Source organism: Homo sapiens, chromosome 8, assembly GCF_000001405.40.
Source record: "Homo sapiens chromosome 8, GRCh38.p14 Primary Assembly".
Lineage (NCBI taxonomy): Eukaryota > Metazoa > Chordata > Mammalia > Primates > Hominidae > Homo > Homo sapiens.
The window spans coordinates 18,384,561-18,410,417 of NC_000008.11; the positions used below are offsets into that span (position 1 = coordinate 18,384,561).

The window sequence follows — 25,857 nt, forward strand, 5'->3', positions numbered from 1 at the left end:
CCTTCTTTGATATATAAATGTTCTGTATCTGTGCTATCCAATATGTTAATCACTAGGGCTACTGAGCACTTAAAATGTGGCTAATACAACCCAAGAACTGAGTACTTAATTAATTCAATTTATTAAGTGATACATTATTTATTTATTTTGAGATGGAGTTTTGCTCTCTTGCCGTGGCTGGAGTGCAGTGGTGTGATCTTGGCTCACTGCAGCCTCTGCCTCTCAGGTTTGTGATTCTCCTGCCTCAGCCCCCCAATTAGCTGGGATTACAGGCGGCTGCCACCACACCCAGCTGATTTTTGTATTTTTAGTGGAGAAGGGTTTCACCATGTTGGCCAGGCTGGTCTCAAACTCCCGACTTCAAGTTGATCTGCCTGCCTTGGCCTCCCAAAGTGTTGGGATTACAGGCATGAGCCACCGTGCCCAGCCAATTTTATTTAATTTAAATAGCCACTGATGGCTGCTGGCTACCAAAATGAAGACCAGTTTCATGCAATGGGCATGCTTAGATTCAAAACATCCCCCTTATCTGTGCTCCTCATTTCTTTGTAAGATCATCTTCCTTCTTAAGTTTCATTTTCTTAAGAGATAGGATGACATGAAGGGATTTTTCAGCAAGCAAAAATAATGAACAACTGACACTCAAAGTGAAAAATATTTACAGGGGTGTTGAATTCTAGACTTCTTGTTTCCTCAGCAATTTTCATATTTCCAGCTTTCATTGTTGCTGTTGAGAAATCAGCTGTCAATCTGTCTTCCTTCTCAGGGCACCTGTTTTTCTTCTCTGGCTAAGGATTGTAAGATTATTGGATCCGGTTTTTATGTTCTACAGTGATGTGCAGATACCCCAGGGTGTGTGTTTAAAATTTACTTGGAAGTTGTTGGAAGCCGTGTCACTTTCATTCCTCCAGCAAACAGATTCAGAGACTAAGTGATGAGTGTAAAAGGGCTATCAAGGGCTAACACCTGTGAAAGACAAGGGCCGAAAGCAGAATGGTACCGGGAGAGCCTCACACCACGATGCAGAGTGAACAGTCTCAAATAACTCACGGGGAACCGTGGAGCAGTCTGCCTATTAAAGGAGTGCTTAGTCACTGGGTGGAGGCCACCCACACAGTGCATGTCCTTAGCTCAATGGCTGAAGCAGATGCAGAAGGCAATGGTCTGGACTGTCAACAATCTACACTCCTTGCAGCTGAATGGCCAGTTATTTCTCAAAAAAGATCAAGAGGTGCACCTCCATGGCTGCCACAGGTTTCCCAAATCTCAAGACTGTTGTTCTCTTTCATCAAGCGGGGAAAATCTCAGCCCAGACATCTCTTCATTTCCCACCAACCCAGTCATTCGTTAAAAAAATAAATTCTATCAAGCATTTTCAGTTCAGCCACACCAGAGAGACTTTTGAGAACATCTAGCATGCTACAATGCCAATTAGAAACCTGTTTTAAATTGTGTACCCTGGGAAAATTTCCCATTTTATCAAATTTTTAAGGAGTGAGGGGCCTCTTGTCTGAATAGCTGCTCAGTAAGTGTGATTTCCTCACTCCAAGACACTTAGAAAACACCAGCCACACTGGACCACTTCTGCAACAAAGCACTCACCTGGGACAGAAGCCATCTGACATCTGCTGTCTGTCCTCACCCCTATCCCTCTCATTAGGTAACAGCAAACTTCCCTCTACCCCCACTCAGCTCCACCCTCTGCCAGGAAACTTTTACTTTCTGACTCCAGGAGGGTAGTGAGGCATGTCAGTCACTGCCCCACAACTGGAGCCAGCAACTGGTTCAGAGGTGGCCATGTGGCCCAACTTACATCCATGATCTGGAAAGGTACAGCTCCCTTCCACCCTTTGAATTTTGAGCTGCGGAATGCGGCCCGGGCTACTAAGGCAGATAAAAGAATGAGACTCAAACAGGCAGAAGCCAAGAGAGCAGAGAAGACCATGGTGTTCTGTCCCGGACACACGGTGCCTGGATGGGCTCCAGCTTCTCCCGAGTGCCAGGTGCCCATACACCCCACCCCGGGGTTGTCCTCCCTTCCAGTGAGTTTTGGACTAAGGCGGATAATTGGCAAAGGACATTCTCTTCCTGTCCTATGGCCCCTGTGAACACGGGCAGGGGAAGAAGGGCCAGTGATTGTCTCACCCCAAACTCCTCCCACCCACCCGTACCAAGGTTCCTCTTCTCTGACTCTGCAAACCTCTGGGAAGCTCTCAGGCCTCACAGAGAAGACTGGAGGGCCGGATCTGGTTCACTCTTTCCCTAGGGTCTGAAGGATCTGCGCCCTGTGTTCAAGGACGACGCTGAAACATTCTTTTCTGCGTGCCTGATCTGAGGCCTCACAACTCAGGTGAGCAAGACTGTGTCCCTTTCACATGGAGAAGCCGAGTTCCACGGAGGTTGAGTGAGGAGCCGGCATCACACAAGGACTCGGAGGGGCTCCTCGAGACTCGCGGGACAGAGACGGCAGCCCCAGGTGGGAAAGGCCCAGGCCAGGGACACGCTGGGCCTGGGGTGGGGGAAGGGGGGAGCCCTCGGGCGCCCCCACGAGGCCGGCGCGCTCCAGGTCCTGGACGGGATCGTCCCCTTGCGGGCCCAGTGCAGGGAGCGCGGGGAGCTGGCCGCCTTCTTCCTGCTTAGGTTTTGGCGCCGCCGCTTCTTCTCCACCTCGTCCGCCCCGCGCTCCTCCCGCTGGCGGCGCCGCCGCCGCCGCTCCCGCGCTTCTCCCTGCGCCTCAAGCCCCTAGGGCAGGCGCTAGGCGTTCCGGATTGTCGCGCCCTCCGCCTGGTTCGGCAGGTCTGTCCGCGGCCCCTTCACGTTGGCCTCCAGCTCTCGTGCCTTCCGCTGGTCCCGGCCCCGGAGTTCAGCAGCGCCCGGACTTCCTCCCTTTCCGCTGCGCGAGGCTCCCCTTCAGCTCCTGCCTGTTCCTCCTCTTTGCGCCTTGCTGGCCGGCTCGTGCTCATTCACCTCCACCTTGTGGACGACCAGCCCCGACGGCTCCTGCGGCTCCTTGCAGGCCACCTCTGGGTGGGCTTGATCGCCGCCCCGGCCCTCGGCCCTCTCGGCCTTGGCCTTTGCTCCCTTCCCTTTTTGCCGCAGCTCTTTCGCTTCCTCTTCCGGTCCCGCTCCTTCTCTCGTCGCCTTTTCTCCAAAGCGCTTGGCCTCAGCTCCTTAGCATTGTCCTGGCCCCGGGCCTCCTGTATTTCCTCCTGCAGTCGCAGTGGTTTTAATGTATGGGGGAAAGAGAACCATTGTACAGGCCTTTGATGAGGTCGCTATCTTCTAGTGAGCGTTTGCCCTGGGACGTGACTTTCGAAAGTGCTTCTCAGCATCCATTCCCCCCTCCCCTCCACTTAGGTCTGAGACAGGAATGCTAGAAGGGTTGGAGTTGAATGTTTCTCTTACCTCACTTCAGTTAGGCCCTTGTAATTTCCCTTAAGGGAAGGAGGACCAGAATGCTCTGGACTTATATCACAATGGTTATTTTTCTCCACCTTCTGCCAGGAGCATGAAGAGACTATTCTCCAGTATTCACAGTGAGAACTTGGTGGGCATCCTGGAGGTAAAACACAAAAGTGTGAAGACCTTCTGAGACTGAGCACCCAAGAGTTTTAAACTGTCAAGTTTGTCTACACTGAGTCTCAACAATTCATGAATTATTACATGTTTGTATGTTGCTAAAAATACTGGCTTCATCTGTGGTCCTCTGAACCTGGGCTTTAGTTTCTAGAATTGAGAATAAATTGTGATTATCTGTCTTTAACTGTCTGTCTCTTTTCAGGACAGCACTTTGCTGTGACTTCAATTCTGTCATGGATCTGAGAAGATTTATTTTCAGTTTGTTTAGTTTTCTCATTGATGAGAAGATGGGAGGGATTATCCCAAACTTTACTTGTTGAAGTGAAAACCAGAAGTTATGCTAAATGTTAAAGTAGATAATAAGCAAAAAAAAAAAAAAAAAAAAAATTAGCTTGGATATAGAACCCTTCTTCAGAGAAGATCAGGAAAGGAAGAACATTTATTTCTTTCTCTGCAAAAATATAAGTTTTGTTGTTAGCAAGGAAACAGTCAATTATCAAACTTTAGAATCTTGACATAAAAGTGAGTTAGCACATGTGAGAATCTGTAAACTAGACATAACTAACTCTAATGCTTTTCTTTAAAGACACAAACAACATGCTTTCTACGTGTATAAGTCACAGTGAAGAAGGAGCTTTTCTTTATGGTATCACTGTTGTTGCCCAGCCCATCTCTGTATCTCTTACTTGTATGGTGAGGAAGTACTCAGTGACAGCTCAGGTATTCCCCAATTCTGCTCTTCTTCCACATAAAAAACTTTGATGAAGTCAAATTTTGGTTTGAAGGTCTTGATGACCACCCTGTGGGAGGCTGTAGGGTATTCTCAAGCTCTCTGACATCTCACACTCCCAGCCTCAGGTGTTTCTTCCCTTGGACACCAGGATCCTTGACTCTGGTCTTACTCTCCCTTAGTCACAAGTCTCCTCATCTCATAGTTTCCCATGACGGTTCTTGCTGGACATCCTCAAGGATCTCTGTCAAACTGACAATAATTAGAGGCAATCTCAGAATTACACATGTGCCAATCTGGATTGCAACATTTTAATTCCAGGTGTCAGGTTTCCAACAATCAAGGAGAAAAATGACCATAATCCATTGACAATTCCTCTCCCACACTCAGTCAAAAATGGTCCAGATCACAGTCCTACATGCTGGAATTATTTCCTCTGCTTCTCTCTCACCCCACCTTGGCCAAAGATTTTCTAGCAAGATCTGAATTTTAATCCATCTCTCTTCGCCTGTGTGTCCCGACTAATTTGGCAGAAGGAATTCTTTCTTAAAACCTTGCCATTTAATTCACAAATGGAAATGTGAAGGGTCAATAGGTATGTGAAGAACCTATTCACCCGTATTCACTGGGAATCAGAGAAGTGAAAATGAAAAGAACACTGAGCTATCATCTTAGATACACAAAACTGTCAAACATTTGAAGGTGGCTAACACCAAATGTCAATCAGGATATGAGGAAAGTAGGAATTCTTCTATACAAGAGGACAGAAATCTGGCAGTGCCAAAAGAAAAAGTACATCTATGATCTGCCCCTCCGCAGATCCCATTCCTAATACATATATCCCAGCGAGTTCTGCTAATCTGCAGAGGATGTCTAGAAACGCATTCATCACATCAGTGTTTATAATAACCAGGAGTAGGAGGCAATCAAATGTCCTTCACAAGTGGAACTGGTAAGTTAAAGAGACTTAGGTTGGGTTTCTCTAAAACCAGGCCACAAGACAAAGATTTGTATTCCAGTGGCTTATTTTGATTTAGGAGATGATTTAAGGAATCACCAGTGCGGGAGTATAACAGTGAACCCAAGACACCTTGAGATCAATAAAAAGGTGCATTGTTGGCAGGCTGCCTGCAAAGAAAGGGAGCATAATCCCAGTAGACAACACCAGGAGGCAGTTTTGTACATGCCTAAGAGTAATCCCACCTTAGCATGTAGAACACAAGGATATTTAGTCTCCAGTTCCCATCATGTGGGCTGAGTGGTGGTCCCAGGTGCTTTAATTTGTAGTCCATCTGCCCAAGCACAGGCCAAAAGAAAGCCTTCCCACAGAGTCCCGAGTTCATGTGGCAGCATGCCAGAGGTATGTACTGGAACAGTAGGTGCTAAAGGCAACAATTACATCATGAAAACTGCACATCTCACTCATATGTGGAATCTAAAAGTAATTTAGCTCATAGAAGTTAAGAGTAGAATAGTTAGAGTAGTAGAAAGTTAAGAGTTGTTACTGGAGAGAAAAGAGGGTATGGAAGCTAGAAAAAAAGCTAGAAGGAAGGATTTTGAATGTTCTCATGACAAAGAGATGATAAATGTTTGAGGTGACAGACATGCTAATTACCATGATTTGATCTTTACACAATGTCTGCATGTATCAGAACATCACACACTACCAAATAAATATATACAATTGTTATGTGTCAAAAAACATTATATACAATGTTTATATTTTATATTAATATTAATGTAAATAAAAATTTACACAAATCTTTTCATTAAATATGGTGTGGATAATTATATTATCTGATGATACCCATGCCACAGGCTAGGAGAAATAAAAATTTACATTAATGTTAATGTCAAAAAAGCAGAAACAAAGCCATATGATACATGTGACACTTATACCACATGCATAGAGTTATTTCAGACACATTGTGTGTTACCTTTGGGTAGAGAAGTGAATGAGAGTGAGGATGAGAGATGAAAAGAGGCAGAAGAAAAAGAGAGGCCTTATAGGAAGTGATGAAAGTGTGCCATAAACTGAGAGTATGACTAAAACCTTTCATCTTCCTCTTCTGCCGCTTCTAAGTTATTGGTTCTGCTGTTCCTTGACCTGTTTCAAGCTCTCACCTTCTATATCACACATGGGAAGTCTGGCATCAGACTTCCAGAGAGCAAGAACTAGGTGAAATACAAGGGCACAGCTCTCCTAGCCTGTGGCATGGGTATCATCAGATAATATAATTATCCACACCATTTTTAACAAAAAGATTTGCGTAAGAGATTCACAGAGGCAACCTGAGGCCCTGCAACTACATTTCCCAGAGATCCCTGAGGTGATCCTAACTAGACTCTGGTGTCAGGGTGATACGGAATTCCAGTGAGATCACTTCCCTTGCAGACTTTGGAAGGGAGAGCACTTTATTACAGACCTTGGAAGCAAGAGGATTGCATTCAGCCTAGTTCCTGGTTGCTGGCCAAAGTAAGTAGAACTTTGTAAGTAATTTGCAGTGTACTTTGAAAGTGGGGTATAAATTAAAAATAAAATCAAGTCCCCCTACTGACTGAATGGATCCCCTCTTGTCCTAGGCGACCCCAGAGAAACCTGGAAAACTAAATTCCAGGCCATAATGGAAAGGGAGGTCAGACACGCCTCATTATACACACTCCCTTTTGGAGTTCAGGCACAACTGACCAGCATTAACATTGAAACAGTGATCATAAGACTGTCAAAATGGACTGTTTGTGGGAATAAGATACCAAATTCCAATCTGACTCTGGTTTAGCATCACATGACAATAGCAGACCCTGAAGGAAATCAATATATTTAATCCCCAAAATATATTTCTTTGACACATATTGAAATGGTCTTGCAAAACCATCTTTTATGGGGAAATTTGCTGGTTTCTGGCTCTGCTCTGATTGAGGAGAGAATAAATGAGAGTCTGACACCTTAAAAATCTGAAAAGAGATATTTACCATCTGTTTTCTCTAAGGCTGCTAGCTGGAGGTTTCATCTACATGACATAAACCATGGTTCCCATAAGCCCTTTTAACTCAAGCATTTAATTGTACTGACCGCAAGTCTTTAGACAAAACTTAACTCTTCAACAAATTGCCAATCACAAAATCTTTGAATCCACCTTTGTCCTGTAAGCTCTCCTACTTCAATATGTCTGATTTTCAGGCAGAGCCAATGTATACCTTATGTGGGGGCCATAGGCTGTTGGCCCCCTAAAGCTTCACTAAAAGTCACTGTCATGTGACAGGTTGATTAATAGGGGAAAGGGAGTACAAATTTATTTAATGTATATACATGGTCTATTAGCCAGGACCCTTTAGAGGGCCAGAACTAATAGGATAGATGTATACATAAAGGGGAGTTTATTAAGGAGTAGTGAGTCACATGATCACAAGGTGACGTCCCACAGTAGGCCGTCTGCAAGCTGAGGAGCAAGGAAGCCAGTCCGAGTCCCAAAACCTCAAAAGTAGGGAAGCCGACAGTGCAGCCTTCAGTCTGTGGTCAAAGGTCCAGGAGTCCAAAGGCTGAAGAACTTGGAGTTTGATGTTTGAGGGCAGGAAGCATCCAGCACAGGAGAAAGATGTAGGCTGGGAGACTAAGCCAGTCTAGTCTTTCCACATTCTTCTGCCTACTTTCATTCTGGCTGTGCTGGCAGCTGATTAGATGGTGCCCACCCGGATTGAGGGTGGGCCTCCCTTTCTCAGTCCACTGATTCAAATGTTAATTTCCTTTGGCAACACCCTCACAGACACACCCAGGAACAATACTTTGAATCCTTCAATCCAATCAAGTTGACACTCAATATTAACCACCACACTTGGGAAACTTGAGAATGAAGACCCAACTTCCCAGTAAGTTACAGAAACTCATGTATTATTCCGAGGCCACAGTAAAGAGTGGAGACTCAAAGCATGGCCAGAAACAGGTAAATTAGTTTTAGTGGCAACACAGGTTAAGAGAGAGAGGAAGGAAGAAGCTCGGCTAGCAAAGGTGGCCTTGTTATGTAGACGAACCTTTTCTCAGAAGCAAAAGATGGTAAATGTTTCTATCCAGATCTTTAAAGGTGTCAGACTCTCAATCGCTCTGGATCCTGGGAAAGGCTTAGAAACAGGAGAGGGTATGGCTGCATTAATGGACATTGTCCACAGACGCAAATTTTCCTCAGTTAAGACAGTTTTGCAATGCCACTTCTGCTTGTTGGCCAGTGGAAACCATTTTTAAATATGTCAAAGAAATATATTTGAGGGTAAAATATTTTGATTTTCTTCAGTCCCCACTTTGAAATTTAAAACAAGTTTCACATACTAAAAGCCAAGGTAATAGCTTTGGGGAGATTTAAGTTAGAGGTGTTTAGATAGAGACAGTCATAGCAGTGGAAAAACACATTTGGGATAAATATAAATGAGCAAATTTAAATATATCATTCCATATTTTCTTTAGGCAGTCCCTTGGTTTTGAGGTGAGATCAGTTCAGTTAAATATCTACGTCCCATTCCAGGAGGTGGGACTGCAAATGGTTTAGGCCTTTAGACGTAATGTAGGCAATCAGATTTCTAGTAGGAGGCATTTCTGTAGAAACAGAAAAAAATAAATAAATAAATGTTACTATCTGGAGTAGTCTATATATCTAGAAAAGCTAGTCTATAGCTTTTTCTCTGAGGCGTCTTCATATTGCAGTGGCAATGTCCCAGATTTCCCTGGAAGTTCAAACCAGGTGTTCCACTGAACTTTCTGAGAAGGCCTCACATCAGCAGATATGCATGAAGGTTGTTTATAAGTTACTGTTATTTTCTCCTGATACCTTCAGTTTGCAAGACTTTAAGAAAACCCCAGTTTTAATTTCTAGTGAATTCAAGTAAGAAAAATGGGAGAAAACGTTGAAAATGTTACTTTGCAGACTTGTAGCCAGAAAAAAATTCAGGATTTGGTCTAACTTGTAAAAAATAATAAAAACTGAAAAAACAATGGGCAAGGCTAGAAGATACTAACAGATACACTATAGTTTTTGAAACATAGTATTTCTGCTTCCAGTTCTTCAATTTTATGAAAGACATAGTTTCATGCACATCCGTGTGAAGAGACCACCAAACAGACTCTGTGTGAGCAACATGGCTGTTTATTTCACCTGGGTGCAGGCGGGCTGAGTCCTAAAAGAGAGTCAGTGAAGGGAGATAAGGGTGGGGCCATTTTATAGGATTTGGATAGATAAAAGAAAAGTACAGTCAAAGGGGGGTTGTTCTCTGGCAGGCAGAGTGGGGGTCACAAGGTGCTCAGTAGGGGAGCTATTGAGCCAGGATGAGCCAGGAGAAGGAATTTCACAAGACAGTGTCATCAGTTAAGGCAGGAACAGGCCATTTTCCCATCTTTTGTGGTGGAATGTCATCAGTAAGGCAGGAACCGGCCATCTGGATGTGTACATGCAGGTCACGGGATATGATGGCTTAGCTTAGGCTCAGAGGCCTGACACACAGTAGAACTGATTTATTTGCAAAATAAGTTTTGTTACTATACTTGGTCTGATTTTTTGCATAAAGGGCAGCAAGAATAATTATTTACTATATAGGCTCCTTTTTAAAAAATGGCTTTGCTGGAACATTCTTTTTTGTAAAGAATCTCATATTAGACCTCTTAAAAGCATCCTGAGCCCAACCAAGGATTTATCTGTTTCTACGAGATACCTGTATGAATTAAGTGAATTCTCTCTCAAGGTCCCAAAATAAGTTGGGGTTCCTGGGCCTGTCAGAATGTGACCTTCTTTTACCCATTACAGGCCAGAAACCTGTAAAGGAACCTGTAAAGGAACTGCATAGACAAGCTGTGAGGCCAGTTTTATCCACAGGGCTATTATCAGCTTTATAAAGTCCCAATATCAATTTCTTAAAAATAGGGCATTCCAGTCAAATCCTTGATTTTTGTCTCCACTTGTGGCCTGTTACAAAACAAAACAGATTCTAACTGAATTTATGCAAATAATTATATTCCCATAAATTAGCAATAATCACTAAGAGTTTCCAAATTTCAGAGAAATCAGGCAGATAGAGGGAAATATGCTTCAAATTTTGCTCACAAGAGTATACTTTACACAAATATTAAAAGCTGTAAATGTCTAAAAAGAAAAAAATTTTGACTCTGAAAAACAAAAGTGGCAATGTTTCAACAAAACCCATAAAAAGATTATTTCAGTCTTCTATTATTTCAGTCCATGCAATTAACTCCTATTCTGTTAGATATTGGGTGAGCAATCTTCATGAACATATTAGTTCTCCATGAGAGTCCTGGGAGTTTTTTTTCTCTATACCAGTGGCACAATCTCCAAAGTTATCATAAAGCTTCATTCAAAAGCACCCCTTAGAGTCCTATAGCTAATTGCAAACCACCTTTTTAAAAGCACCAAAGTAGAACAACTGTCAATGACAGAAGTCTTAGGACAGCCATGGTCAAGGACACACTTAACAAGGAAATTTGGTTATTTCTGTGGCATATAACAATTTAACATAATAATTATAAATACTAATAACATATATAAAGACATCAGAATGATAGGAATATCACGCAATGTTGAAAAACATACTAGTAACAGGTTTAATATAAATGTAGAACAAATAAAGTTGAACACCATTTCATATTTGACAATGTTTCCTATATGATTTTAACATGCCAAATACACCGAATATGTCTGTTTTTGGCTTCAGGGGACTTAATATCAAAAAAGATAATGAGGTCAACAAGACTGAATTTAGAATTTGATTTTGGAAAGTTTGATTTTCTTCAGTCCCCACTTTGAAACTTAAAACAAGTTTCATATATTAAAAGCCAAGGTAATAGCTTTGGAGAGATTTGGGTTACGGGTATTTAGATAGAGACAGATATTGTGGTGGAAAAACAAATTACAATCACCAAACAGGTCATTGTAAATAAGTCATTCATTTAGGCAAAGTGATAACTCAAAGATTTCAAAAAGTAAAAACCTTCACTCTTTGAGAGAGAGGACTCACTTTCACAAACAATAAGACCTAATAAAGACAGCATGAGGCCAACTAAATTTGTCTCTCTTCCCCAACCCATCTTTTTTTTTTTTTTTTTGCAGTTTTCTCAAAAGGTAAGCAAAAATCTTTCACTATCTCTTAATATTAAAAGAAAATCTTATTCAAAGGAAATCTAAATTTTACCATTGCATAGCTTATTATTAATGCTAAAGTTAGCATTAATAAAATCTTACAAACAAATCTATTTAATTAGTTGTAACACAAGGTAGAGATTTTTATAAATCTTTTACAACATTTTATAATTTTCCATAAAAGAGCAGATTAGTATTCTAATAAAACCCTGATATTTTGACATAAGGGCCTAGATTCTGGCCCTGAATTAGTATGCTTTTTATTTTAAGGTTTAATTTATGCAAAAACTAAATAATCCCTTTCAAATTTTAGCCAGCTGGCTTATATATAGAATTCCTTTTACAAGATCAATGATCAATCTTTCATAAACCTTTAGTTTTGTCCACATTTTTAACTTAAAACAATCTTTAAAATCTAAAAAATTTTTTTTTGTTCTTTTGAGACCGAATCTCACTCTGTCAGCCAGGCTGGAGTGCCTGCCTCCAGGGTTCAAGTGATTCTCCTGCCTCAGCCTCCTGAGTAGCTGGGATTACAGCTGTGCATGACCACACCCGCCTAATTTTTGTATTTTTAGTAGAGACGGGGTTTCACCACGTTGGTCAGGATGGTCTCGAACCCCTGACCTCGTGATCTGCCCACCTTGGCTTCCCAAAGTGCTGGGATGACAGGCATGAACCAATGCACCCAGCCTGTAATTTTTTAAATAAATAAGACTAGCTTAATATTCGTTTCATAAAAACAGCTAAATCCTGAGCTATCTGTAAAAAAATACGTTTAACATTAAGGTTTATACTTGGGTGAACACCTGATATTCACAGGCTATAAAATAGTTAGCAAGGAAATAACTTTAAATGTGACTAGTTTTGTCTAATGTCTCAGTTCTCAAAGCAATCTAGGTAAACTGCTAACAATGAATAAATTGAACAAATATAAGTGGGATGGATAAATGCTTGTTGGTTAACTTTTATGTAATTTAAAATCTTAAACTTATTTTGGATTAAAGAACAGCTACTCATTAATAGTTTGGCTCATTTCCAATTAAGTAGAGATATGGAGAAACATGCCTAAAAATTATAGAGTGATTTCATCTATAAAGTACTGATACCTGATATGCAGTTTAGGATTTCATGTTTCCTAGGTTTAAGGTCACTAAAAATAAAAATTCCACTTAATATATAATTCTGTTTATAAAGTCTGTCAAAGACATGTTTTTGATGAAAAAAGAAAATAATATAAGACAAATAGAAAAATGTATTCTCATTAAAAAGAAAATCACTTTTGTCTAATTCAAAGGTTATTTATGAAACAAAGTAAAAAGGAACCAGTAAATAGGGGAAAGAGATGTAAAGAAAGTTATAGATATAAAGATGTATTTGTGATAAGAGAGATTAAAAAGAAAAGAGAATTATTTTGTATGATAAATAATTTTATATTTTTTTCTGAAGTAAGATGACTGGTAATCTAAGAAAGAGGGAAATTTAGGATACAATGGAAAGTCCAATCATGTTGGAAGTGGCATGTGTATAATCAAATTCATAAAAGAAATTTTGTTTGTGGTTATGTTGGCTTTAATTAAAATTGAATTATTTATAGTCGTCTTTCTGGAAACTGAGCTTTGACCAAAAAAACCACAATACAAAACCAAAACATTGGTTAGAGCAATAAGGGTTTCTTAAAGTATTGATTTGCTCTTCATTAAATTCCAAGAAGTTTTAATGTTTAATGCTATTTTTTTCTTTTTGAAACTTCTCAGATATCTCAGAAGTTCAACTTCTGGTGTATCCTGCTGCTTTTAGCCTTTTCTTCATTTGAGAATAGCTGAGATCTTAACTCTCTCTTTCAACTTTTTGTTGGCTCTGGCAAATTTTTTTTTTCTTCAGGTCTAAATCTGTTGCTATAGCCTGATGCTGAAGTGTTTCGTCTTAAAGCTTCAAAAAAAGCAATGTTTTCTTCCATTATCACTTAATTCTGTGCTGTTGGCTTTTCCTCCTATGAGTAAGGGCCAGAAACCCTCTGAAGGATTACTGAAAAATCAACTCACAAAAGATAGATCAGTTGAAGAGAAGGCATGCAGATTTGTTTGGAGTGTGTATGCTGGAGTCTTCAGAATAAAGACCCCAACACACAGGGGAAATTGTCCTTTTTATGCTTAGGTGCGACAAGGTATGGGCACATATAAAAATATGATTGAGGCAAAAGGCATAACCTAATGCCAATGGACTGGGGAAACCCAGCAAGACCTGTCTGTCTAGATTCCTCTTGACCTCTCTGAGCATGTACTCCTTCCTTCTGGGTATAGGGATCTTATGACCTACAATCCAACAAGGTAAGTTGGATAATTTCTTTATGGCTAATTCATACACAGAAAGGGAGAGGGCAAATTAGAGTAATATTTTTAGACTTTGTGGCTGGTTTTGAGAAAAAGGAGTTCTGATTTCTAGGTTCTGCCTTGGGGAAAGAGATTCTAGTTTGTTTGGCCAGCTTTGAGGGATATTGGGACTGAGAGATAGGAGGCCAGGAGAAGGCCAAAGAAAAACTGACTTCTGAAGCTTTTACCTTGGGGCACTGTCTTCTGAGCTACAACGTGTATTTAAAGTCTTCGACGAAACCATGAAACTTCCTATGCTGGTACTAAGAGTCACGTATTCCCCTGCTCAAGTTACTAGTAAATTCTTTGTTAGTATTGTTCTTCAGTGGGTTCTCCCCAGTAGCTTTGGGTTGATATCCTCCCAGCTTCTAGCCTTGCAGCATAATACATGTGCTTAGATTTCAGCAAAAATGCCTCAATAGAGTTTCAATGATCTACTTAGGTCACATGCCACCCATCAGCCAAGCTTTGGTCCTAGAGCTGTTGTGTTTGAAGTGGTCCTACATAGTTTATGTGACAGCCCATAGAGCTCAATATGGGCAGCCTATTGTCCACACAGTAGCTAGACAGATCACTTTGATTAGGCGAACACTGTTCCGCTTATAACCCTTCTCTCATCCTGTCTCACTTTGATTTCTCATCTCGTTTAGAATAGAAGCCAAAATATAAGCATTGGCTCCAAGGCCACTGTTAGTTGTCAGATATCATCTCAATCCATTCCCCTTCTCACTGACTGTGCTCCAGTCACCCTGGCTTCCTGGATGTTTCCTCAACACTTGGGACAGGTTCCAGCTAAGGATCCTGGTACTTTCTGTTCCACTGCATGGAACAATCCTCCTCACACATATCCACAGAACTTATTCTCTAGCATCCTTAAAGTCTTAGTGAGCCTTTCTTTAACCACCTTGTTTGAATTCAGTGCTCTCCCTGTGCACCCACTAACCCCTCTTTTTGTTTTCACCAGGCACTTACCACAATCTAACAGACTGCATGTTTTATCCATTTATTCAGTTTCCTATTTGTGTCCCTTCAACTCCCATTAAAATATAATATTTTTGAGGGCAAGCAAGTACTAGAACAATAGGAAACACATCAAGAGTATTCTGTAAACTATTTCTTGAATCAATCAGTGAATGAATGAATTAATCAATATATTTTTTGAGTGAGGAGCTTTGTGTTAGGTACAGCTAAATGGGAAATCAAGTGGGTCATGTACCATGAATACCATATACTCTACTGTATAATTCTCCTGCTTATATCAGAAACTGTTTATAAGCCTATTATAATTGATACCAATTGGAATCTCTTTTTTACTCATCACCAAGAACACCACAAACAAGTTGTTTACCATTTGGCTCCTTATTTAATCTGGATTTCCAACTCCTCATGCTTAAAAGACGGAAGATACAATAATACTTTCCTTACAGGGTTCTGAGACTACTAAGAGAACTTATGCATGTAAAAGGGATTCATGCAGTAGAAATACTAACAAAAGAATTACTATGACAGATACTTATAACCATTGTGTTTTTACGTATTTAAAATACGTTATACCTATAATTAGTCACACGAGGAAATCAAATGCTAAAGTATGATATGTTTTTATGTTTTGTTTTTCTTGCTTAGGGGATCATGGACATTGAAGCATATTTTGAAAGAATTGGCTATAAGAACTCTAGGAACAAATTGGACTTGGAAACATTAACTGACATTCTTGAGCACCAGATCCGGGCTGTTCCCTTTGAGAACCTTAACATGCATTGTGGGCAAGCCATGGAGTTGGGCTTAGAGGCTATTTTTGATCACATTGTAAGAAGAAACCGGGGTGGGTGGTGTCTCCAGGTCAATCAACTTCTGTACTGGGCTCTGACCACAATCGGTTTTCAGACCACAATGTTAGGAGGGTATTTTTACATCCCTCCAGTTAACAAATACAGCACTGGCATGGTTCACCTTCTCCTGCAGGTGACCATTGACGGCAGGAATTACATTGTCGATGCTGGGTCTGGAAGCTCCTCCCAGATGTGGCAGCCTCTAGAATTAATTTCTGGGAAGGATCAGCCTCAGGTGCCTTGCATTTTCTGCTTGACAGAAGAGAGAGGAATCTGGTACCTGGACCAAATCAGGAGAGAGCAGTATATTACAAACAAAGAATTTCTTAATTCTCATCTCCTGCCAAAGAAGAAACACCAAAAAATATACTTATTTACGCTTGAACCTCGAACAATTGAAGATTTTGAGTCTATGAATACATACCTGCAGACGTCTCCAACATCTTCATTTATAACCACATCATTTTGTTCCTTGCAGACCCCAGAAGGGGTTTACTGTTTGGTGGGCTTCATCCTCACCTATAGAAAATTCAATTATAAAGACAATACAGATCTGGTCGAGTTTAAAACTCTCACTGAGGAAGAGGTTGAAGAAGTGCTGAGAAATATATTTAAGATTTCCTTGGGGAGAAATCTCGTGCCCAAACCTGGTGATGGATCCCTTACTATTTAGAATAAGGAACAAAATAAACCCTTGTGTATGTATCACCCAACTCACTAATTATCAACTTATGTGCTATCAGATATCCTCTCTACCCTCACGTTATTTTGAAGAAAATCCTAAACATCAAATACTTTCATCCATAAAAATGTCAGCATTTATTAAAAAACAATAACTTTTTAAAGAAACATAAGGACACATTTTCAAATTAATAAAAATAAAGGCATTTTAAGGATGGCCTGTGATTATCTTGGGAAGCAGAGTGATTCATGCTAGAAAACATTTAATATTGATTTATTGTTGAATTCATAGTAAATTTTTACTGGTAAATGAATAAAGAATATTGTGGAAAAACTCACTGTCTCTAAAGTTTATGAAAACATTGTTGGCTAATATATTGTGAATCAAAGTTTTTCTTTAGACGACTTAGGATATTATGGGGCTAGGCATTTTTTCCTCAATAGAGTCTTCCTCTCATCCTCTTTCTTGTCTCCTAGTTACATTCTTTTACTTCCATCCATACTTTGCCACAAGAGAAGGAACATGAGCTTTATTGTGTAGATCTGATTTGAAATCCTGTGGACACGGGGTGAATTACTTTTAAAATCTGTGGCTCTGATTCCTCAAAGATAAAATGCAAATAATATTTATATAATTCACTGCCAGATATAAATTTTCAAAACTATTTGTTATATGGATGAATAACATCATTAATATTGTGGTTGCTGGGCCAGCATTTGCCAAAAGTTCTCCTTCCATTTTGCTTTATTTTCCTGTAACTTGAAATTCTGGTCCTACTGTCATCTGCCTGCTTCTTCCTTAATTAAATATTGATAGGATATCAGATGTCTCGGATCTGAGAGTGTGCCTTGTGATTCAAAATCTGAATCTTTACTTATCCATAACTCAGATTTTCTGTTTGTAAATTCCAGTATCAGGGCTATAGTTTAAACTGCAGATTTGTTCTTAACACTATTCTCCCTCTTCGACTCGTGATGACTATAATAATCTTAAGAGAAAAGCAGACATTAGAATGAATAAATATTCATTAGGAGAATAAATTACATTGAAGCATCAGTATTTTAGGCAGCAGTGTAATAGTTGGGAGATACTGGTGAGTGTAGATATCCTAGGAAGAGGTGGATAGGAGATCTGGCCTCAGTGGGAAGGACAAATGAAAGACATATAGCAATATTTGAGAGCTTGTCATCTTTCTTACCTATTAGCCTTGTTCAGCTCTCCTGCTATCTTGTTGCAATGCCAGGTCACCACTGGTGCTCCTAGGCAGACCCAAGTTTCTCACATTCTGAGCAAGATCACATCACAGGAGGATGTGGTGGCAAAAAAACAAAAATGAAAACAAAACAATCAAACAAAAAACCAGATAAAAATGTGGCTCAAGTATGATGATACAGTTGTATACAAATGAATCAAGTAAATTATATTGCACAACGAGTATCCTGAAACCTAATTCAGTTGTTTTGTTCTTGATTATATATAGCACATAATGGAAAAAGCAAAAATATGTTCAGAGAGATTCAGAAATACACAATTTCGCTTCCAGGTTGAAGCCTTCTGCCCTTATTATGCAATGTTACCTTTTCTCTAATGAAATCTAAATGAGTGAAGAAGAATCTCACCAATTGATTTGGCCAGAGATTTTAAGGTGCCTCTTAATTGTTTGTGTTTGTCCAAACCCATGTCTCTGTTTTTGGTGGCCCCCTGGAGACTAGGATGTGGCATATCTTGGTAGAACTCTGAGATAAGTAAGGTAGAAACCAAACCTTCTAGACGTAACTGGGAAGGTAGGATGTTGGATGTATATTCCAGTTCTTCTATTTTCAAGGTGAAGCTGAGTGTGTGTGTTTATCTGCCACTCTCTCTGCTGAAAGCCAGGGAGATTATATGGGGCAAGTACCCATACTGGTGTTCAGGCGGCAGCCTCTGATCCTAGGGAGATACCTATTGGAAGTAAGCCTACGTCATATCCACCTATTTGTTTTTTGTGGCCTAGGGACATTCAGGAATGGAAAGCCCCACTGATTCCCAGAGCTAGTTCATTAAGAAGACAGTGCCTTTGGTGGGAGCTATATAAGTTGTGGCTCTTGGTGTGTGAACTAACTCCTTCAAGGTAAATGAATAGGCCTAGATTTATTACTGGGGTGAGCTGGAAGAAAGGCTCAGGAAGTGCCAAGCTGTGGCTCAGATTACTGGAGGGCTACTGTTTGCTCACCAATGCAAATGTATTAGAAGCAAGCTTGTCAAATAGTCATGGAAAGAATGTGCAGGAAAATCCTTCTGGAGGGAAAAATGGGAGCTGTGCATTCCAGAATTTTTTCTGCACTGCACCCAGAGGATGTAGCCCCTGGAAGTACTTAGATGCCCATTGAAAACCACCTCTTTGTCCTATAATCTAGAGAGACTCACATGTGCCTTCTTCCGTTCTTTGAGCTAGAAGGTATTTAGGATTCAGTTAATCGTGGTTGCTATAAAAGTTGCAGCACCTAATGTATGGCATAAATAAATCCTTTCTGGGAAGAAACACGGAGCTGCATTTTTAGAGTTCCTTCTCCACACTCCTCCCATAGTATGAAGTCTGTGGAAGTGCATGCAGGCTCATATAAAACTGCCTTTTCTGTGGCCTAGAGAGACTTGCATACACCTAGTCCCCTCTACCCCAGAGTTGGGAGGTTTAGGATGCAGTCCTAAGAGTGGAAAGAGTGGACAAACTCTTTTCAGGTCGGATTAATAGACCTGCAATTATCACTGGGGTTAGGGGAGAAAGCACGGGAAGAGACAATCTCCTTCTCAGGCTGCTAGTGGGATATTTGTCTCCTTTCTCCCCAGTGCATGTTGGAAACCAGGCCACCAAGTAGCCACTGGAACAGTGTGCCATAAACCCATTCCAGGAAGTGACAGACAGCTGCATTTTAAAGCCCCTTCTGTACATTGCTCCTGGGGGATAAGGCTCCTGGAAATGCTATGCACCTGTATAAAATCACCTTTTTCCTGTGGTCTAGAGAGACTTGCATATGTCTAATTCCCTCTACTTCAAGAGGTAGGAGGTTGAGGATGTAGTCTTAGGTGGAAGCTGTAATAGTGGGATGCTCATCATGTGGACAAACTCTAGGAGGAATCAGTAGACACAAAATTATAGCTGACTAGATTGGGAGAGGCAGTTGTCTCATCTAACATACAGAAACTAACACAGAAAGTCAAAGAAAATGATGAAACAGAGATATATATTCCAATTAAAAACAAAATAAATTTCCGAAACTGTACCCAAGTGATGTGGAGATATGCAATTTACCTGACAGGGAATTTAGAATAAAGGTCATAAAGATGCTCTCTGATCAGGTGACCAATGTAGGAACAAAACTGTGAATTTCAACAAAGAGATTTTTTAAAAGTTTTTAAAACACCAGACAGAAATTATAGAACTGAAAAATACTCTGACTAAAAAATCTAATAGAGATGTTCAACAGCAGGCTACATCAAACAGAAGAAAGAATCAGGGAACTCAAAGACAGGTCATTGAAAGTTATCAAGTTTCTGTTTCAAGAACCAGAAATACCATTTGACCCAGCAATCCCATTACTGGGTATATACACAAAGGAATATAAATCATTCTGTTCTAAAGACACATACATGGGTATGTTCACTGCAGCACTATTCGCAATAGCAAAGATGTGGAATCAATCTAAATGCCCATCAATGATACACTGGATAAAGAAAATGTGGTACATATACACCATGGAATACTATGCAGCTATAAGAAAGAATGAGATCATGTCCTTTGCAGAAACATGGATGAAGCTGGAGGCCATTATCCTTAGCAAACCAATGCAGAAACAGAAAACCAAATACCACATGTTCTTACTTGTAAGTGGGAGCTAAATGATGAGAACACATGGACACATAGAGGGGAACAACTCACACTGGGGCCTACTGGAAGGTGAAGAGTAGGAGGAGAGAGAGAAGCAGAAAAAATAAATAACGCGTACTAGGCTTACTACCTGCGTGACAAAGTAATCTGCAAAACAAACCCCCATGACATGAGTTTATCTATATAACAAACCTGCACATGTACCCCTGAACTTAAAATAAAAATTAAATTTAAAAAATAAGATTAATATCTGCATACAAATCTTTGTTTACAGCTTGTTATATATTGAATTATGTCTGCTCCCCCAACATTCATATGTTAAAGCCCAAAGTTATTGTGTTTGGAAATAGGGCTTTTAGGAGATATTTAAGGTTAAATAAGGTTATAAACGTGGAGTCTTAATCTGATAGGATTGGTGGCTTTATAAGAAAAAGAAAAGAGATTGCTCTCTCCCCAGTGCAGTTACCAAGGAAAGGCCATGTGAGAACATAGCAGGAAGGCAGCCATCTGTAACCTAAGGAAAGAGATCTGTCAAAGGACAAAACTACAACAAATGTAAAGATCTCAATTGGCTTTATCTGCGATTCTGGAATCAGGCAATACTCCATTTCATAAAACAGAACTAGTGCTCCAATGAGCTGAGCAAAAGGGGTTGTTAGTTTTATAGACAGAGAAGGACGGAAGAAAGCAGAAATAACGAATGGAAAGTAGATTGGTCAAATTTACTTTCCTTTTAAGGCAGAAAAATAGAACAATAACTATTCAAGTAATCTTAAGGTTACTTCAGGTTAAGGGTTAAAACAGAAGGAATTTTATCATCATGCTTATTGAAGATTCAAACTGGCCTGTTTAAGAAATTGGCTGTTATCTCTTTCTATCTTTTATTTTAAGAGGCTTCCTCAGATACCATGCTGGTGGAAGAAGGGGAGTGCCACCTTTCTACGGCCAGGTGGACATAAATATCCAAGTTCCCCATTCAATCTCCTTGCCATTCAAGGCAAGGTACCTTGTTACTGCTCAGTGGAGACGAAAATTTCTGATTTCTCAGAAGGTCAGGTAACAACTTAGTTTTAGTTTAGTGATGTTGATCCTCAGCCTGAGTGACTCCATTGTGATTTTTAGTCTGGTCTGTTGGGGTTTGGTGTAGGATCTTAGTCCAAACCAACTGCCTCCTATAATTTTTAATTTAACAGCCCTCGCCAGGTAGTGACTCTGCTGGCACATTGATTTGGACTTTTTAGCCTCCACAACAGTGAGAAAATAAGTCTCTGTTGTTTAAGTAAAAAAAAAAAAAAGAAAAAAAGTCACCCAGTTTGAGGAGCAAAAATAGAAAATAGTGAAGACATTTTAAGAGACTAATGGAATACCATCAACCGACCATCATATGCATTATTGATGTTCCAGAAAAATACAGAAAGTAACATTGAGCCAGAAACTTCTCAAGCTTTTAGAAGGAAACAGAAATCCTGATTTAGTAAGCTCAAAGATGCCAAGTAAGATTAATACACTGAGAAACATCATAATCAAATTGTCAAAAGTTAAAGAAAAACAGAGTTTTGAAAGCAGCAAGAAAAAAGCAAATTGTTATGTACAAAGGAATCCCAATGACATTATCAACAAATTTTTCAGCAGAAACCTTGTAGGCCAAAAAGGAGTAAGATGACATTTTCAAAACTTTGCAGGGGCGGGGTGGAGGCGAGTAGGGGGTGGGAATCCAATTAAGAATACTCTACCCAACAATCCTGTCTTTCAAAAATGAAGGGTGAAAAAGACTGACAAACAAAGGCTTAGTTTATCACCACTAGACATGCATTGTAAAAATTCCAAAGGGAGTTCTTTAAGATGGAGGAAGGGGATGCTAATTAGTAGCATGAAAGTATAAAGCTTACTGATCAAAGGAAGAACATTTTCAAATCCAAGACACTCTAATACCGTAATGGCAATGGGTAGGTCAATTTAGTATACGTTAAAACGATTTAGTATATGCTATACCTTTAACCTTTATTGTTTTAACATACACTAAATTGACCTACTCATTGCCTAGGGTTAAAGGTTAAAGGTATAAACTTTAAACTTAGTATAAAGATTAAAACTCAAAACTATTAAAAATGACTAAAGCTGCAATAATTTAAGAGACATGAATTATGAAAAGATGTAAATTGTGACATCAAAAGTATAAAATGGGGGGAAGAGGAGTAAAACTATAGAGTTTGTGTATGTGGAGAGATAGAATGCTTTATGTCATGGCTTTATGTCAGAGCATGTGATCAATCTTAAACAATGTTCCATGTGCAGATGAGAAGAATGTATATTCTTTGTGTTTGTTGGCCAGGGTATTCTGTAGATATCTATTAGTTCCATTTAGTCAATTATAGTTTAAGTCCAGAAGAAAGTTAAAACCGTCAAAAGTTAAAGACAAAAAAATAGTCTTGAAAGCAGCAAGAGAAATGCAAATTGTAATGTACAATGGAACCCCAATGATATTATCAACAGATCTTTCAGCAGAACCCTTGTAGGCCAGAAAGGAGTAAGATGATATATTCTAGACCTTGTGGGAAAAGGCCAGCTAAGAATAACGTAACTACATTAAATAAGAACCAAACAGAACTGCTGGAATTGAAATATTCACTACAGGAATTTCAAGATACAGTCGAAGGTTTTTTAAGTAGACTGGACAAGAGGGAGAAAAACACTAAACCTATGACTTATTAGCATTTCTAGCAGAGACTAAGAAAATGCTACCTGGAAAACATATTTGAGGGTGTAATTCAGGAAAATTTTTCCAATCTTGCTAGAGAGGTAGACATGCAGATACAAGAAATTTAGAGAACTCCTATGAGATACTATACAAGATGACCATCCGCAAGGCACATAGTTACTAGAGTATCTGATACAGTGTTGGCTGTCCTCTCCAAATCTCATGTTGAAATGTATTCCCAAATGTTGGAGATGTGAGGCTTGTTGGGAGGTGAATGGATCACTGGGGCAGATTTTTTCATAATGCTTTTCCACCATCCCTTTGGTGCTATCCTCATAACAATGAGTGAATTCACACAAGAGCTGGTTTTGTAAAAGCGTGTGGTATCTTCCCCCTTACTCTCTCTTGGCACCACTTTCACTATGTGACATGCATGCTACCATTTCCAACATGAGTAAACGCACCCTGAGGCCTCCCCAGACGGAGAGTAGATGCCAGCACCATGCTCGTTCAGCCTACAGAACTGTGAGCCAATTACACCTCTTTTCTTTATAAATTACTCAGTCTCAGATGTTTCTCTATAGCAATGTAAAAATGGCCTAATCCACTATACAGGGTAAATGAAAGAGAAAAAAAAACTTAAAGACAGCTGAAAAAAGGGTCAAATTACCTATAAAGGCAATCCCATCAGAATAATGGTGGACTACGCAACAGAAGCCTTTCAAGCCAGAAGCAATTGGAAATCAATTTTTAGCTTTCTTTTTTTTTTTTTTTTTTTTTTTTTGAGATGGAGTCTCGCTCTGTCACCCAGGCTGGAGTACAGTGGCGCGATCTCGGTTCGCTGCAAGCTCCGCCTCCCAGGTTCACGCCATTCTCCTGCCTCAGCCTCCCAAATAGCTGGGGCTACAGGTGCCCGCCACCGCACCCGACTAATTTTTTGTATTTTTAGTAGAGACGGGGTTTCACTGTGGTCTTGATCTCCTGACCTCGTGATCTGCCCGCCTCGGCCTCCCAAAGTGCTGGGATTACAGGCATGAGCCACCGCGCCCAGCATTTTAGCTTTCTTAAGGAAAAAAAAATGCCAGCAAAGAAATTCATATCCCACCAAAGTAAGCTTCAGAAACAAAGGAGAAATAAAGTCTTTCACAGAGAAGTAAATGCTAAGAGAAGTTATTACCACCAGACTGACCCTACGAGAAGTGCTAAACATGGAAACAAAATAATGGTACTTGCTAACACAAATGCACATGTGAGTACAAAGCCCACAGACACTGTAGAGCAACTATGCAATAGAGACTGTAAAGCAGCTAGCTAACAATGCTATGACAGGAACAAAACCTCTCGTATCAATATTAACTGTGAATGTAAACAACCTAAATGCTCCACTTAAAATTCATAGAGTGGCAAGTTGGATTAAAAAAAAAAAGGCCAAGCCTGCTCTCTTTAAGAGATCCATCTCACATGTAATGACACCCATAGGCTCAAAATAAAGGGATGGAGAAAGATTGATCAGCAAATGAAAACAAAAAAGAGATCACTATTCTTGGGTTAGGTAAAATCAAACTTTAAACCAACAACAGTAAAAAAGGACAAAGAAGGATGTTGTATAATGATAAAAGTTTCAATTCAATAGATTTATCTATCTTAAAGATGTATGTACCCAACTCCAGAGCACAGAGGTTTACAAAAACTTACTACTGGATATAAGAAAAGATATAGGCAGCCATACCATAATAGCGGGAGACTTTACTACCCCACTGACAGCATTACCACTTCAGTCCAGAATTTCTTTGTCGGTTTTCAGCATTAGACACTGTAAGAATTAAAGAGGAAAGAAACATGAAAGGTGGCTTTACAGCCAAGAACAGGTTTACTTTAGAAAACAAACATGAGAGGTGCTTCTGGCCAAGTTAGGTCAGAGCCACACTTTCTTAAAGACTAAGAGTTTTTAAGGATTCAGGGTGTGAGAGTTTATCACAGGCTTTGACTGCTTCCGTGTCTTTTTGTTGTGCTTGTCTGGGAGGGAGCGTTGTGTGTCTGTTCCCACACGTCTTCCTGCAGCTGCAGGCATACACCCTACCCCCAATTCTGAGTCTGCTTTTAGCTTCCCTATCTTAGTGCACCTGAAGGGAAAGGAATGTACTTATTAAGGCCATTGTATGAGGGTGAAGTTTGGCAGTTACCCGGGAGACTTTCTCCCTACCTCCCTCTGTGCCTGAGCTGTCTTATCTGCGTTTTACTGTCTGCTCTTTCTGGCTGCTTATAGTTAGAAGAGAAGTGATTTCCTTGAAATACATGAGGCTAGAAAGGGAGCTGGAACTTAAAGTGGCAGTGTTTGTCCGAGACGATGGTGCTCCTGCCCTGTCAGACAGATCATCAAGGCTAACAAATTCTGGACTTAAATGGGACAGTTGACTAAATGGACCTAATAGACACCTACAGAATACTCCACCAGACAACCACATCATACACATTCCTATCTGTGCATGAAAAACTCTATAAGGTTGACCACATCCTCTGACACAAAGCAAGTCTTGATACATTTTTAAGAAATCAAAACTATGTCAAGCATCTTCACAGACCATGGTGGAATAAAATTAGAAATCAATAACAGGAGCTCTTAGAAATACACAAATACATACAAACTAAACAACTTGCTGCTGAACGAGTTTTGGGTAAACATCAAAATTAAAGCAGAAATCAAAAAATAATCCGAAACAAATGAAAATAGAGACATAGCATACAAAAAGTTCTGGGATACAGCGAAGGTAGTGGTAAGAGGAAAGCTTGTAGTGCTACATTCCTACATTGGAAAGTCAGAATGATCTGAAATTAAAGCCTAATATTTCCCCAATGGAACTAAAATAATAATAACAACTTAACCCAAAGCTAGCAGAAGAAAAAGAAATAACTAAAATCGGAATAGAACTAAATGAGATTGTGATTTTAAAAATTATGCAAGGGATCAA

General features: G+C 39.9%; 1 protein-coding gene across 2 annotated transcripts; it reads left to right on the plus strand.

The window, feature by feature from the left end:
• On the plus strand, nt 1,741–16,658 carry NAT2 (N-acetyltransferase 2). Of its 2 annotated transcripts, XM_017012938.2 has the most exons (3): nt 1,741–1,830; nt 2,267–2,476; nt 15,438–16,658. In XM_017012938.2, exon 3 carries the CDS (start codon nt 15,444–15,446, stop codon nt 16,314–16,316), a length of 873 nt encoding a protein of 290 aa, XP_016868427.1. In that variant the 5' UTR covers nt 1,741–1,830; nt 2,267–2,476; nt 15,438–15,443; the 3' UTR covers nt 16,317–16,658. The 2 variants fall into 2 exon arrangements, with proteins under 2 accessions (XP_016868427.1, NP_000006.2); NM_000015.3 differs by lacking the exons at nt 1,741–1,830; nt 2,267–2,476 and adding an exon at nt 6,722–6,785.

Bases quoted from the DNA above. Each gene is read 5' to 3' on its own strand.
- NAT2 (XM_017012938.2), top strand. From the start codon at position 15,444: ATGGACATTGAAGCATATTTTGAAAGAATTGGCTATAAGAACTCTAGG.